We start from the raw sequence: 16533 nt of genomic DNA, 5'->3' as shown, positions 1-16533 counted from the left end.
TCCCAAAGTGCTGGGATTACAGGCGTAAGCCACCACCCCAGCCCACAACTTATTTATTTATTTAGAGATGGAGTTTTGCTCTTGTTGCCCAGGCTGGAGTGCAATGGCGTGATCTCTGCTCCCTGCAACCTCTGCCTCCCAGGTTCAAGCGATTCTCCTGCCTCAGCCTCCCAAGTAGCTGGGACTACTGGTGCGTGCCACCATGCCTAATTTTTCTATTTTTAGTACAGACAGGGTTTCACTATGTTGGCCAGGCTGGTCTCAAACTCCTGACCTCAGGTGATCTGCCCGCCTTGGTCTCCTCCCAAAGTGCTGGGATTACAGGTGTTGAGCTACTGTGCCCAGCCCAACTTATTTTTGATTTTTTTGAGATGGAGTCTCATTCTGTCACCCAGGCTGGAGTGCAGTGGAGGCACCTCCGCCTCCTGGGTTCAGGCAATTCTCCTGCTTCAGCCTCTCGAGTAGCTGGCATTACAGGCGTGCACCACCACGCCCGGCTAATTTTTGTAGTTTTAGTAGAGATGGGGTTTCACCATGTTGGCCAGGCTGGTCTCAAACTCCTGACCTCATGATCCACCCACCTCGACCTCCTAAAGTGCTGGGATTATAGGCGTGAGCCGCCGTGCCTGGCCACACCTGGGTAATTTTTGTATTTTCTTCTTTTTGTAGAGGTGGGGTTGTGCCATGTTGCCCAGGCTCCAAACCTCCTCACGCTGGAACCAGGATGATCCGCCCGTAAAGCTCAAACTGGCAGCGGCTTCCCAGTCCCAGTGCTCTCAGGGTGAAGGCCCGCTGCCCTAACATGACCCACAAAGCCATGCGTGGACACCTGCTCATGTCCTCCGCGTCACTACGTCCCATACTATCCTACTTGCCCTCTGGGGTGCCTTTCTTGATCCCTGCTCCCCCATCTTATCTCCTCTCATTTTATGTGCCCACAGTCTTGCATTTGTCTTTTTTTCTGAAGTTTGTCACAGTTGTAACTGTTTGCTCAATGCCTGTCTTCTCTGCTAGACTGTAAGCTCCATAAGAACACAGACAATACCTGTCTTGTTTACTACGTATTTACCACAATGCCTGGCACATATTAGGTAAAAGTCCAATAAATACTTATTGACTATATATGAATTTAGTAAGACTTGAAAACTTGTCCTGTATATAAAAGCTGAAGAAACTGGGGGACCAGCATGGGGCTCAGAAAGCAGCTCTACTGAGTGGGAGATAAGACCCTAATTAGGGAAAGTAATGGGGTGAAGCAGAGGATTTCAGTAACCTGGAGGGGACATTCAATGCTCTGGGGGCAAGAAGGATTTGCCTGAATGCTATGTAGGTTTTAGTTCTGGCCTTCTTGGGTGAATATGAGAGAAACACAAGCCTGGAGTATAAAACCACTCTAAGGCTTATTTGATCTGCGTGGTAGATGATGCATTTGCCCCTGGTGGGATTTGGATACCCTGGGTAATCTTACAGTAGGTCCATACTTGCCATGAGACACTTGTCAGGGACCCTCAGGAACTATTCTCTGGATCCAACACAGAACTACATTGGGTTTCAATGTGGGCTCTGGCTCTGCCACTCTTTAGTGTGGAACCCTGGAAAATCACTTCACCTTTCTGGTTTTAATATCCTCATCTGTAAAATGGGGATAATCAAAGTTGTTCAACAGTTATTGTCAGGATTAAATCAGGTAATTAAATGTGAGAGCACCTAGCCCAAGCCCTGGACTATAACACCTATCAGTAAGTGTTAGGTGACTTGACTAAATGAATGAACTAAATGAATGAATGGCCTTGAACGAAGCCAGCAGGGAGAAGACAAGCTGTTAACAAACCTAAATAGGCCGGGCACAATGGCTCATGCCTGTAATCCCAGCACTTTGGGAGGGCGAGGCGGGTGGATCACTTGAGGCCAGGAGTTCCAGACCAGCCTAGCCAACCTGGTGAAACCCTGTCTCTACAAAAACAAAAACACCTAAATTCTTTGCTAAGGTAGAATCCTTGTCAGCTGAAGTCATTACCTGCATATTCTAGGTCAACAGCCCACCTCTGTAAGAAGGGGGACAGAGTGGGGCTCAGTGCCTCTGCTAGACATCCTACACTTGGAGAGCCTCCTGCCAAGTATGCTGAGAGCTGGAGGCAGGTGGAAGGAGTGTAAGGTTTGGAGCCACACAGAGCTAAAGACCCACAGTGATATCAACATTTATTAACATCAAGGGCTTATCAGCTGTATAAGCTTGAACCATTCACTGTGGGTCTCAACTTCTTTATTTGTGAAGTGGTCAAAATCATATCTATTTATAGGAACGTGTGGAGATTAAAATTATAATGTATATATTCCTATCAAAAGGGGATCTAATACCCCTGACTCTCTGCCTAGTTATTTTATTTTATTTTATTTTATTGAGATGGAGTTTCGCTTTTGTTGCCCAGGCTGGAGTGCAATGGCGTGATCTCGGCTCACTGCAACCTCCGCCTCCCAGGTTCAAGCAATTCTCCTGCCTCAGCCTCCTGAGTAGCTGAGATTACAGGCATGCACCACTACGCCCGGCTAATTTTGTATTTTTAGTAGACACGGGGTTTCTCCATGTTGAGGCTGGTCTTGAAATCCTGACCTCAGGTGATCCGCCTGCCTCAGCCTCCCAAAGTGCTGGAATTACAGGCGTGAGCCACCGCGCCCAGCTATTTTTTTTTTTGAAATAAAAAAAGTATCGATATTCTTCAAATCCAAGTCCTCTTGAAAATCTATGACCTCAGGCTGGGCATGGTGGCTCATGCCTGTAATCCCAGCACTCTGGGAGGCTGAGGCGGCCACATCACCTGAGGTCAGGAGTCTGAGACCAGCATGGCCAACATGGTGAAACCCCGTCTCTACTAAAAATACAAAATTAGCTGGCCGTGGTGGTGCATGCCTATAATCCCAGCTACTCGGGAGGCTGAGGCAGGAGAATTGCTTGAACCCAGGAGGTGGAGGTTGCAGTAAGCCGAGATTGCGCCATTGCACTCCAGCCTGGGCATTAAGAGCGAAACTCTGTCTCAATAAATAAATAAATAAATAAATAAATAAATAAATAAATAAGAAAATCTATGACCTCAGAGTGAAGGTGTAGAACACCTGATTTTTCTTTTTTTTTTTTTTGAGACAGGGTCTCACCCCGTCGCCCAGACTGGAGTGCAGTGGCACAATCTTGGCTCACCACAATCTCCGCCTCCCAGGCTCAAGCGATTCTCCTGCCTCAGCATCCTGAGTAGTTGGGATTACAGGTGCACACCACCATGCCCAGCTAATTTTTTTGTATTTTTAGTAGAGACAGGGTTTTGCATGTTGACCAGGCTGGTGTTGAACTCCTGACCTCAAATGATCCACCCACCTCGGCCTCCCAAAGTGCTGGGATTACAGGTGTGAGCCACCACGCCCGGCTGAGAACACTGGATTTTAAAGTCATGTTATTTGGCTTGATTGCCACCTGCATCTCTAATTGATAATATACAACTTAGTTTTAGAGTCTTTATTTGTTCTACATAAGGACCAAAAAAAGAGAAAAAACTTAAAAGAAAAAGAGACACAGGTCTTTTTTTTTTGAGACAGAGTTTCACTTTTGTCACCCACGGTGTAGTGCAATAGTGCGATCTCAGTTCACTGCAACCGCCGCCTCCCGGGTTCAAGTGATTCTCCTGCTGGGATTACAGGCGCCCACCACCACACCCGGCTAATTTTTTGTATTTTTAGTGGAGATGGGGTTTCACCAGTTTGGCCAGGCCGGTCTCAAACTCCTGACCTCAGATGATCCACCCGCCTCGGCCTCCCAAAGTGCTGAGATTACAGGCGTGAGCCATCAAACCCAGCCACAGAGGTCTTTCTATAATACGTTCCTCTATGTATTTAAAAACTTGAAATAACTAGCATAAAATGAATATTCCATTCAGTAATAATTTCTTGTTTTTTATTTTTAATTTATTTTATTATACTTTAAGTTCTAGGGTACATGTGCACAACGTGCAGGTTTGTTACACACGTATACATATACCAAGTTGGTGTGCTGCATCCATTAACTAGTCATTTACATTAGGTATATCTCCTAATGCTATCCCTCCCCCCTCCCCCAACCCCATGACAGGCCTGGGTGTGTGATGTTCCCCACCCTGTGTCCAAGTGTTCTCATTGTTCAATTCCCACCTGTGAGTGAGAATATGCAGTGTTTGGTTTTCTGTCCTTGTGATAGTTTGCTCAGAATGATGGTTTCTAGCTTCATCCACGTCCCTACAAAGGACATGAACCCATCCTTTTTTATGGCTGCATAGTATTCCATGGTGTATATGTGCCACAATTTCTTAATCCAGTCTATCATTGATGGACATTTGGGTTGGTTCCAAGTCTTTGCTATTGTGAATAGTGCCGCAATAAACATACATGTGTCTTTATAGCTGTATGATTTATAATCCTTTGGGTATATACCCAGTAATGGGATGGCTGGGTCAAATGGTATTTCTAGTTCTAGATCCTTGAGGAATCGCCACACTGTCTTCCACAATGGTTGAACTAGTTTACAGTCCCACCAACAGTGTAAAAGTGTTCCTATTTCTGTACAACCTCTCCAGCACCTGTAGTTTCCTGGCTTTTTAGATTCTTTTTAGATTTTTATTTTTTTGAGATGGAGCCTTGCTCTGTCGCCCAGTGCAGTGGTGTGATCTCAGCTCACTGCAACCAGGTTCAAGAGATTCTCCTGACTCAGCCTCCTGAGTAGCTGGGACTACAAGCGCATGCCACCATGCCCGGCTAACTTTTTTTTTTTTTTTTTTTGAGACGGAGTCTGGCTTTTTTGCCCAGGCTGGAGTGCAGTGACACGATCTTGGCTCACTGCAACCTCCTCCTCCTGGGTTCAAGTGATTCTTGTGCCTCAGCCTTCAGAGTAGCTGGGATTACGGGTGCATGCCACCATGCCTGGCTAGTTTTTGTATTTTTAATAGAGACGGGGTTTCTCCTTGTTGGTCAGACTGGTCTCCAGCTCCTGACCTCAGGTGATCTGCCTGCCTCGGCCTCCCAAAGTGCTGGGATTAGAGGTGTGAGCCACTGCACCCGGCCAATTTTTGTATTTTTAGTAGAGATGGGGTTTTGCCATCTTGGCCAGGCTGGTCTCGAACTCCCGACCTCAAGTGATCCACCTATCTTGGCCTCCTAAAGTGCTGGGATTACAGGCGTGAGCCACTGTGCCTGGCCCTAGTTTTCGATTTTAATCAATAAGTTATTTCTGAGGCAGGGGGAGATACTTTGCCGGTTCAAATTAAAAAGGACTCAACAAGGCCAAATTTATGTTAAGAAATCAGAAACAGATCCTTTGGAAAAGCCTAATATTTTTCTCCTACTAGGTCTTTCTAGACTGGACACCAGGATGTTGAAAATACTGACATTACCCCTTTATTACCAAAGATATAGAGTCAATTTCCAGTTTCCACACATTTATGAAGTAACTTTCTCAAGTTCTTTTAGTGCCCAAAATTTCAGAGATAGCTATATGAAGTCTCAGAAAAATCTACATATTAGGGCCGAGTGTGGTGGGTTCGCACCTGTAATCCCAGCACTTTGGGAGGCCGAGGTAGGTGGATCACCTGAGGTCAGTAGTTTGAGACCAGCCTGGCCAACATGATGAAACTCCGTCTCTACTAAAAACACAAAAATTAGCCGAGTTTGGTGGTGGGTGTCTATAATCCCAGCTACTCAGGAGGCTGAGGCAGGAGAATTGCTTGAACCCAGGAGGCAGAGGTCGCGGTGAGCCGAGATTGCACCATTGCACTCCAGCCTGAGTGACAGAATGAGACTCTGTCTCAAAAAAAAAAAAAAAAACCTACGTATTTGTAAATGTAATATATAATAGTAATATGTAGCAAAATCTACATATTAGTAAAATTTCAATACAATTTTTTACTTTTCAGAAAGGTATCTTTACCATAAAGAACCTACTATTTCTTAATTTATAGAATCAGTTTTTACCCAGAAATCTAAGTAAATTGAATTAGTTAAGTTCACTTGAGGTCCTTCTGTTCTGGATTAATAGATTATACTATGCAATCATTACAGTAGTCCCGCCACCACTCCCCACTCAACATCTGCAGATTTGCTTTCTATGGTTTCAGTTATCTGTGGTCAACTGCAGTCCAAAAATATGAAATAAAAAATGCCGGCCAGGCACGGGGGCTCACGCCTGTAATCCCAGCACTTTGGGAGGCTGAGCTGTGTGGATCACAAGGTCAGGAGTTCAAGACCAGCCTGGCCAACATGGTGAAACCCTGTCTCTACTAAAAATAAAAAAAAATTAGCCGGGCATGGTGGTGGGCACCTGTAATCCCAGCTACACGGGAGGCTGAGGCAGGAGAATTGCTTGAAACTGGAAGGCGGAGGTTCCAGTGAGCTGAGATGGCACTGCTGCACTCCAGCCTGGGCAACAAGAGCGAAAGTCCATCTCAAAAAAACAAAATAAAAAAATAAATAAATAAATAAAAAATAGCCAGATTGGGCATGGTGGCTCATGTCTGTAATCCCAGCACTTTGGGAGGCCAAGGTGGGTGGATCGCTTGAGCCCAGGAATTCAAGACCAGCCTGGGCAACGTGGCGAGACTCTAGCTCTACAAAAAATAAAAAAGTAGCCAGGTGTGGTGGCACACACCTGTGGTTAAACAATTTGGGAGGCTGAGGTGGGAGGAATGCTTGAGTCTGGGAGGTCACGACTGCAGTGAGCCATAATTGTGCACTGCACTCCAGCCTGTGTGACAGAGAAGACCCTATCTCAAAAAAAAAAAAAAAAATTCCAGAAGTAAACAATTCATAAGTTTTTTAAAGTGCTGGCTATTCTGAGTAGCATGATGAAATCTCAAGCTATCCCATTCTACCCTGTTTAGGATGTCAATCATCCCTTTGTTCACCACACTGTATACGCTATCTGCTCATTAGTGCCTTAGCCATGTTGGTTCTCAGAGAGAAAAACACCGTATATAGAGGGTTTGGTATTATCCACCATTTCAGATATCCATGGGGGGTTTTGAAACGTATCCCCTATGGATTAGGCATGGACTAGTATATTCTAAAAACATGTTAGTATGTCACAAAATGTTAAAATATACATACATTTTGAAATGTTTTAAGAATACAGTTGGAATGCACAGTAAAAAGGCAGCAAATATTTTCTCCCAATGAATTCATAGCAAACAAGAACACATGTAAGAAAAACTCATCAAGGTCGATATTTTTTTCCCTCTCTTAACAGTATAATATTCATGAAAACTGAATTTCTTCCAGGTCTTTTAAAATTATCCTTATTGTATTAGAAATGGTCCAGTCAACTTTAAGGAATGTTCATTTTAAAACAGCATTAAAAGTACCAAAATACACAAATACTTTGGGCAAGACTTAAATGCATACTTGATAACAGCAGGCTGGGTGTAACGGCTCATGCCTGTAATCACAGCCCTTTGGGCGGCCAAGGTAGAAGGATGACTTGAACCCAAGAGCTCATGACCAGCTTAGGCAACATACAGAGACCCTGTTTTTTTTTTTTTTTTTTTTTGAGATGAAGTCTTGCTGCTCTTTTGCCAGGCTGGAGTGCAGTGGCGCGATCTTGGATCACTGCAACCTCCACCTCCCGGGTTCAAGCAATTCTCCTGCCTCAGCCTCCTAAGTAGCTGGGACTATAGGCGTGTGTCACCACGTCCAGCTAATTTTTCTATTTTCAGTAGAGACTGGGTTTCACCATATTGGCCAGGATGGTCTCGCCCTCTTGACCTTATGATCCACCTGCCTTGGCCTCCCAAAGTGTTGGGATTATAGGCGTGAGCCACTGCATCCAGCAAGAGACCCTCTTAAAAAAAAAAAAGGTAAAAACAAGGAATTCATCCTTTACCAATGAGTGGTGAATGGATCCTGCAAGTCAGCAGAAGATTTCCATGCTTTCTCTCACTCTACAGATGTTCCTTGACTTACAATGGGGTTACATCTAGATAAACTTATTACCAATTGCTGCCTAGCAGTGCAAGAGAAGTACAGTTTCTACTCAACATCTATTGCTTTCACACCATCGTAAAGTTGAAAAAAATCATAAAGCTGAACCATAGGAAGTTGGGGACCATGTGTACGTGTAGTTTTAGTAGTTTTTCTTAGTACCAGTATCTCCTTAACATAACCACAACCAAAGAATGGGGGAGGCAAAACTTTAATGTAGGGGTCTAAATTCTGCTGATAGGAAGCAACCTTTTCTCTCTCAGGGGTTCACCTTTGTGGAGGTACAAAGTAAGAACTATCAGAACATGAGATTCTGATCTAATCCGCTAAGGGTCCTTGGCCCAAATCTGGCTTGCAGACAGGTCTGACTTACACAGGGTTTAAAAATAGTTTTTTTTTTTTTTGGCTGGGCTTGGTGGCTAATGCCTCTAATCCCACCACTTTGGGAGGTCATGGCGGGTGGATCACTTGAGGTCAGGAGTTCGAGACCAACCTGGCCAACACGGTGAAACTCTTGTCTCTACTAAAAATACAAAAAAAATTAGCCGGAAATTAGCCATGTGGGGTGGCACATAACTGTAATCCCAGCTACTCAGGAGGCTGAGGCATAAGAATCGCTTGAACACAGGAGGCAGACGTTGCAGTGAGGTGAGATGGTGTCATTGTACTCCAGCCTGGGAGACAGAGTGAGACTGTCTCAAAAAAAAAAAAAAATTGTTTTTTTGATACATGTTCTCGCTCTCACTCAGGTTGGAATACAGTGGCACAATCATATCTCACTTTAGCCTTGACCTCCTGGGCTCAAGTTATCCTCCCACCTCAGCCTTCCCAAGGTGCTGGGACTACAGACATGCGCCACATGCCCAGCTAATATTTAAAATTTTTAGTAGAGATGGGATCTCACCATGTTGGCCAGGCTGGTCTTGAACTCTTAGGCTCAAGTGATCCTCCTACCTTGGCATCCCAAAGTGTTTGGATTACAGCATAAGCCACTATGCCTGGCTGGGCTTAAAAATTTTTTAATTTAGTTACACATTTAAAAATCAGAGGGGCCGGGTGCAGTGGCTCACGCCTGTAATCTCAGCACTTTGGGAGGCCGAGGCGGACGGATCACGAGGTCAGGAAATCGAGACCATCCTGCCCAACATGGTGAAACCTTGTCTCTACTAAAAATACAAAAATTAGCCGGGCGTGGTGGTGTGTGCCTGTAGCCCCAGCTACTCGGGAGGCTGAGGCAGGAAAATCGCTTGAACCCAGGAGGTGGAGGCTGCAGTGAGCTGAGATTGCGCCGCTGCACTCCAGCCTGGGTGACAGAGGGAGACTCCATCTCAAAAAACACAAACGCAAAAACAAAAACAGAGGGATTTCTATATAAATCTGGCTTTCCAGAGTCTTTTGAAAACCTGAAAGAGGGCTGGGCGCGGTGGCTCACGCCTGTAATTCTAGCACTTTGGGAGGCCGAGGTGGGCGGATCACAAGGTCAGGAGATCGAGACCATCCTGGCTAACATGGTGAAACCCCGTCTCTACTAAAAATACAAAAAAATTAGCTGGGCATGGTGTCAGGCACCTGTAGTCCCAGCTACTCAGGAGGCTGAGGCAGAAGGATGGCATGAACCTGGGAGGTGGAGCTTGCAGTAAGCCGAGATCGCGCCACTGCACTCCAGCCTGGGTGACAGAGCAAGACTCTGTCTCAAAAAAAAAAAAAAAAAAAAAAGAAAAGAAAACCTGAAAGATATGGTAACAGCTGAGTAGGAATGGCATTCACTCTTCAGCTGACCATATCCCCTTCCTGGCTCTCATTTTAATTTCTCATCTGGCTTCTGTAGCCATCTGAGTTCGCAAACCCTACTTACAAGACCTAAGGAGGAAAAGCACAACGTCAGCTGGTCCGGGTAGCCCCAGTGGCCAAACCCTGGTCCAGCTCTGGGTGTGAGCTAGGCCCCCTCACCTGGAAAGTCAGTGACAGCAGGGTCCGCCAGCCGCCCATAGCGTGCCATTAGTTTGAGCTTGGTCTCCTGTTTTCTGTGTTTCTTGCCCACATAATGTTGTTGAGCCATGACAGGGTCGTTGAAAGTTGCATGGCAGAGGCTGCAGAACTTGTCTGGGTCTATCATCTCTCTATTCTGGTGCAAGGCTAAGGTGGAGGCCACAAGGAAAGGATTTGTAAGGCGTTTTGACAGAGCTGCAGTGAGAGAGTTCAAACAGAAACAATGAAAAAACCCAGAAGGTGTCAGGCTTTTGAGTATGCTGAATAGAAAGGGCTGTGACACCAGTTAATCCTACTGCAGATGTGGCACTGCCTGTGTGAGTCACACAGGTGAATGCATTCTCTAATTGGGAAACCTGGGAAGATTTGAGGGAGCCCAAAGACTGGCTATTTCATTCAGCGGCTTTAACTACTTTAAGCCCACAAATCCTGGTGGTTCTCATATTCTTAGGAGGCCCTGAGCTTCTCCTGTCAGGCTGCCAAGTTACAATAGACTAGAGATGCACACTTGCACTCTTGCAGGGATACCTCAGTACTTCCCAGAACTTCACAGCAAGTGGGACACGAAGTTTGGGAGTTTTATTCTCATCCTTAAAGTAATACAGTTGCAGAGCTGGGAACAAATGCACAGATACAGAAATTGAGGCTTGAGTTCCTGGAGCTCATACAAGGTCATTCAGAAAAGGTAACCATACTAGGGATGCCTTTTAGGCTACATTGCATATTATAGGCTGAGTAGAGAGAAAAGAGGACCATTAACATTTAGTTATGCGTTTTGCTCACATCTGTAATCCTAGCACTTCAGGAGGCCAAGGCAGGCGGATCACGAGGTCAAGAGATTGAGGCCATCCTGGCCAACATGGTGAAACCCTGTCTCTCCTAAAAATTCAAAAATTAGCTGGGCATGGTGGCGTGTGCCTGTAATCCCAGCTACTTGGGAGGCTGAGGTAGGAGAATCACTTCAACCCAGGAGGCGGAGGTTGCAGCGAGCCGAGATTGCGCCACTGCACTCCAGCCTGGGCGACAAGAGCGAAACTCCACCTCAAAAAAAAAAAAATTAGTGATGTGTTTTCTACATATATTTTCTCCTTTGGTCCTCAGAACTACCCCAATGAGGTAGGTATCACTTTGCCACATTATTCAGAAAAACTGAGGCTCAGATGAGTGAAGTGGCTTGCCCAAGGTGACCCAGCCAGTGAGTGAAGCCAGGTCTGTGACCCTAAAGCCTGTGCTCTCTTTGCTATGCCAGGCTGCCAGTGTGGCAAGAAGACCTGAAGGCTATAGCTCTTACTTACGCCTTCAGAAAACATCCCTGATTCTGGCCAATGAATTCAGTGAATCAGAGCCTGGTATAGGCATACATGCGAGCCTCTTGTGCATCAACATATGGCTTGATGTTGACTCTAGGCTGCGCTGCTGCCTCATAAAGCGGATGCCACGACTCACTAACAAGTCCATGTGGCTGAAATGGTGTCAACCTAGCAACTACTGCTTTAAAAATGTGGGGCCCAGAAGCCCCCACCAGTGGTGGAGGACTGATGGGGCTCAGCAGGACTCACAGATGATATGTCTCAGATGCTCTTCCATACCTGTATCACTTCAACTGGGGAAGTTTTGAGGATTTTGGGCAAGCCAGAAGAAATTTGCTGGCCTTTCCCACAATGGTTTTTCTAGTATAGGGAATTTCAGTTTCTCTGCTTGTTGATTTTGTTTCAGCAAGTCATCAAAAAAGTAATGTACATGTTGTAGAATATTTTATAATATGAGAAAATATTCTGTTTGTGGTGTTGAGTGTAAAAAAAGCAAGTTACAGGCCAGGCGCAATGGCTTGTGCCTGTAATCCCAGCACTTTGGGAGGTTGAGGCAGGCAGATAATCTGACTCAGGAGTTCTGAGACCAGCCTGGCCAACATGGTGAAACTCAGTCTCTACTAAAAAAATACAAAATTAGCTGGGTGTGGTAGTGCATGCCTGTAATCCCAGCTACTCAGGAGGCTGAGGCAGGAGAACTGCTTGAACAGGTGGGCGGAGGCTGCAGTAAGCTGAGATTGCGCCATTGCACTCCACTCTGAGCGAAAAGAGTGAAATTCTGTCTCAAAAAAAAAAAAAAAGAAAAAAAAAGAAAAAAACAAGTTACACATCAATCTGCTTCTTATGTCCTCAATTTTATAGAACAACAACAAACGCATAGGTGACAGCATGGAAAAAAGATCAAAAGCACAGAGAGTAGAGTGTGTTTCACTATTTTCCGACTTTTCCTTTCTTTTTTTTCTTTTTGAGATGGAGTTTTGCTCTTGTTGCCCAGGCTGGAGTGCAATGGCACGATCTTGACTCACTGCAACCTCTGCCTCTGGGGTTCAAGCGATTCTCCTGCTTCAGTCTCCGAAGTAGATGGGATTACAGGCATACGCCACCATGCCCAGCTAATTTTGTATTTTTAGTAGAGATGGGGTTTCTCCATGTTGGTCAGGCTGGTCTCAAACTCCTGACCTCAGGTGATCCACCCGCCTCAGCCTCCCAAAGTGCTGGAATTACAGGCGTGAGCACCCGGCCTACTATTTTCCAACTTTTCTGTAATGAATGTAGATTTTTAACATCAGAAAAGAGGTATAATGGTTGTTAAGAGAGAACGGTCATTCTTTGAGATACTGAACAGAAGCATCAGAAGTGAAAGTGTAAGTAAGTCTAGAACCATTTAATGCGCATCCAATAAAATGAGGGATATAGAGTCTGTTCTCAGAAAATAACCTGAAATGTAATAAAGTGTTCTACAGAGATGTTCACTGTAGTGTTATCTGTAACACCAAAAAGTGGGGGGTGGGGAGATTAAATGTTCAGCATTAGACGAATATTAAATGTAGTACGATGCAGTCACTAAAAATGCTTATAAAGAATTTTTTAATAACATGGGGAAATACAAATGTCATATTAAATAAAAAACATATAGAAGGCAATTGTATGGCCAGGTGCGGTGGCTCATGTCTGTAATCCTAGCACTTTGGGAGGCAGAAGCGGGTGAATCACCTGAGATCAGGAGTTAGAGATCTGCCTGGCCAACATGCCGAAACCCCATCGCTAGTAATACAAAAATTAGGCAGGGCACGGTGGCTCATGTCTGTAATCCCAGAACTTTGGGAGGCTGAGGTGGGTGGATCACCTGAGGTCAGGAATTCAAGACCAGCCTGAGCAATATGTTGAAACCCTGTCTCTATTAAAAATGCAAAAATTAACTGGGCGTGGTGGCAGGTGCCGGTAGTCCCAGCTACTCAGGAGGCTGAGTCAAGAGAATTGCTTGAACCCAGAGGGTGGAGGTTGCAGTGAGTCAAGGTTGCACCACTGCACTCCAGTCTAGGCGACAGCAAAACTCCATCTCAAAAAAACAAAAAAACAACATTAGCCGGGTATGGTGGTGGGCACCTGTAATCCCAGCTATTCAGCAGGTGGAAGCAGGAGAATTGCTTGAACCTGGTGGGGCAGAGGTTGCAGTGAGCTGAGATTGCGCCATTTCACTCCAGCTTGGGCAAAAGAGGGAGACTCCATCTCAAAAAAAAAAAAAAACAAAAAACAAACAAACAAAAAAGGCAATTGTACATACCATACGGTAAGATCATTGTTTGAGGCCAGGAGTTCAAGACCAGCCTGGGCAACATAGTGAAACCCCGTCTCTAATAAAAACACAAAAATTGGCCAGGCGCGGTGGCACGCGCCTGTAGTCCCAGCTACTTGGGAGGCTGAGGCAGAAGAATCGCTTGAACCCAGGAGGCGGAGGTTGCAGTGAGCCGAGATCGTGCCACTGCACTCCAGCCTGGGTGACAGAGCAAGACTTCATCTCAAAATAAATAAATAAATAAATAAATAAATAAATAAAAATAAATAAAAAAATTTTAAAAACCCCACACGTGTAATCCATATGTGCATACTGGTATTTTAAAACATCACCAACATATTAACAGTATTTCTCTCTTGGTGTAGGATTTAGGTGATATTTTACTTTCTTCTTTGTATCTTTTGCAATTGTTTGAAGTGGAATTATTCATAATGAGTATGCATTGTTTTTATAAAAACATGAAAGTTATTTAAAGTAGTCTATGTTTATATGCACATATACACGGAGTTAACCTAGATATACACAAAACGAATATACACACAGATATACAAAGATACATATAACAATAAGATTATAGGAGAAACAGATTATAGGAGAAACCAAAATGTTAACAGTGTTTATCTGTGAATGGTAAAATTATGGGTAACTTTTCTTTCCATTTATCCATGTTTTCCTTATCTCTTACAACATGATTATATTACTTTACATTAAAAAGTGTTTAATTTCAGAAATATAGTTATAAAGTTGTGTAATAACATGGAAATGTGCTTAAGCTGTAAAATTAAATGAAAAGTAAAAGCGGGATATAAAGGGTACCTGCATTATGATCACAACTATATAAAAACAAAGTATGTGGCAAAAGCTGAAAGTGAATATGGAAAATAATCTCGAGTATGAAATTTCAGGGACAAGGCATAATGCAGAGAATTTTCCCATTTGTGGGAAGAGAAGTCTGTGACCTTATAAAATTGGTTTTTTTTTTTTTTTTTTTGAGACGAGGTCTTGCTCTGTCCCCCAGGCTGGTGTACAATGGTGCGATCTCAGCTCACTGCAACCTCCAGCTCCCGGGTTCAAGCGATTCTCTTGCCTCAGTCTCCCAAGAAGCTGGGACTACAGGCTCGTGCCACCACACCCAGCTAATTTTTGTTATTTTTAGTAGAGATTGGGTTTCACCGTGTTGACCAGGCTGGTCTTGAACTCCTGACTTCAAGTGATCTGCCCACCTCAGCCTCCCAAAGTGCTGGGATTACAACAGGCATGAGCCACCATGCCCGGCCTATGTCCTGTGTTTTTAATACACATTATTGTATCCTCACAACCGATGAAGTAGACAGTATTATTATCATTTTATAGGTTAGGCAGTTCAGACACAAAAAAGTCATATAAACAGTAACAGTGCCAGGCTTTAAACCTGGGACTCTGTGACTTCAAAGTCCACATTCTGCTGTTTCATACCATGAATAACTAGATGTGGGTGTGATAAAAAGGTGTAATTATGAGTGGCCAGGTGTGGTGGCTCATGCCTGTAATCCCAGCACTCTGGGAAGCTGAGATGGGAGTATCACTTAAGGCCAGGAGTTCAAGACCAGCCTGAGCAATATAGTGAGAAGCCATCTCTATTTAAAAAAAAAGGTTTTGGCCGGCGTGGTGGCTTATGCCTGTATTCCTAACACTTTGGGAGGCCGAGGCAGGTGGATCACGAGGTCAGGAGTTTGAGACCATCCTGGCTAACACAGTGAAACCCCGTTTCTACTAAAAAATACAAAAAAATTAGCTGGGCATGGTGGTGGGCACCTGTAGTCCCAGCTACTTGGGAGGCTGAGGCTGAAGAATGGCATGAACCTGGGAGGTAGAGCTTGCAGTGAGCCGAGATCATGCCACTGCACTCTAACCTAGGCAACAGAGCGAGACTCCATCTCAAAAAAAAAAAATTATGAGTGATTTTTCACCCTACCTTTGAAGGCTTCCAAAACACAGTTGTCAGTAAACACAAAAAGGATAATAGTATTACTAATAGTGTAGTCTACTTCTTGGTCCAAAATAGAGAAGCAAAAATTATCAAGAAAACAATGAAATAAACATCAAAGAACTTTCACTCTTGACTAATTGCAATTAGCAGAGGTTAAAACCCCAGAAAGTCAGGAGTTAATGAGATGAAAGTGAGGGCTGAGCCCTAGTCGTGACGAGATAAAGGGGGCTATTTCAGAAGTCACTGTACTGGGAATGAATTCATGGCAGTTACAGATTGTGGGGCAGTAGTAGCAGCACTGAAGTATTCAGCTTTGAAAGGCAAGTCCCTGTCTTGAGGAGAACAGGCAGCTTTTGAGGATTAAAGTGAGTAGGCCATAACCTGAGCATGTGAAAAAGACAAGGATTTAGCTTTCAACTTGGAACATGCAGTAATAAGGGCAGGTGGATGCTGGGATGGAAAAATCTAGTGGGAGAGGTAGGAGATAGAATGCTCTCATGGTATGCGTGGCCTGGAGGACTTTGGCACTCCTGAGTTATAATTATTAGTCAGGACAAAAGCTCAGCCTATAGAGAAAAACCTATAACCAAAGAAAGGGAGGTTAGGTGAGCATAATTCTGAGATTGCATTTCAGTGAAGCTGGGTCTACTTGGAGATTTTTAAGGGTTCTCAAAAGCAATTCAACTTCTTCAAGTCTGTGGCCTCAGTGAGGATCTCTGTGAGCCCCTGGCAGTAGTGCCCTGAGGACGGCAGGGGTCCCACTATAGCACTACTCAGGAAAACCAGTACCTTCCACCTTAGTGGACTGCTGCTTCAGCTTTAAGTTCTTTGCGTGGGTCTTCCCCAGGTAGTGCGACTGGGCCACGACAGGGGAGGAAAAGGTCATGTTACAGATGGGGCAGCACTGGTTCTTGTCTTTGCTTCTGCTGCTCTTCTGGTTGGAAGAAAGAACACAGGTCTGATCATACCACTGCCCCACCAGA

At 44.6% G+C, this 16533-nt stretch overlaps 1 protein-coding gene across 27 annotated transcripts in view; it reads right to left on the bottom strand.

The window, feature by feature from the left end:
- The window catches only part of ZNF346 (zinc finger protein 346), a 58494-nt gene that overhangs the window by 20317 nt on the left and 21644 nt on the right, over window positions 1-16533 (bottom strand). For 7 of the 27 annotated variants that reach the window (XM_011534494.2, NM_001363713.2, XM_047417054.1 and 4 more), the window contains 2 exons: window positions 16340-16484; window positions 9937-10170 (listed from right to left, as the gene is read on the bottom strand). The exons of 5 other annotated variants lie outside the window; for them this stretch is intronic. In XM_011534494.2, the coding sequence (XP_011532796.1) occupies window positions 9937-10170; window positions 16340-16484 (379 nt within the window). Of the gene's footprint in view, window positions 1-630; window positions 1633-9936; window positions 10171-16339; window positions 16485-16533 lie in introns of those variants that run through there. 15 more of the 27 variants (NM_001308213.2, XM_047417055.1, XM_047417051.1 and 12 more) reach the window with 7 other exon arrangements.

Source organism: Homo sapiens, chromosome 5 (genome assembly GCF_000001405.40).
Source record: "Homo sapiens chromosome 5, GRCh38.p14 Primary Assembly".
NCBI classification, from domain to species: domain Eukaryota; kingdom Metazoa; phylum Chordata; class Mammalia; order Primates; family Hominidae; genus Homo; species Homo sapiens.
The sequence above is the reverse complement of the archived record's forward strand: the minus strand, read 5'-3'. Positions and strand labels throughout refer to the sequence as shown.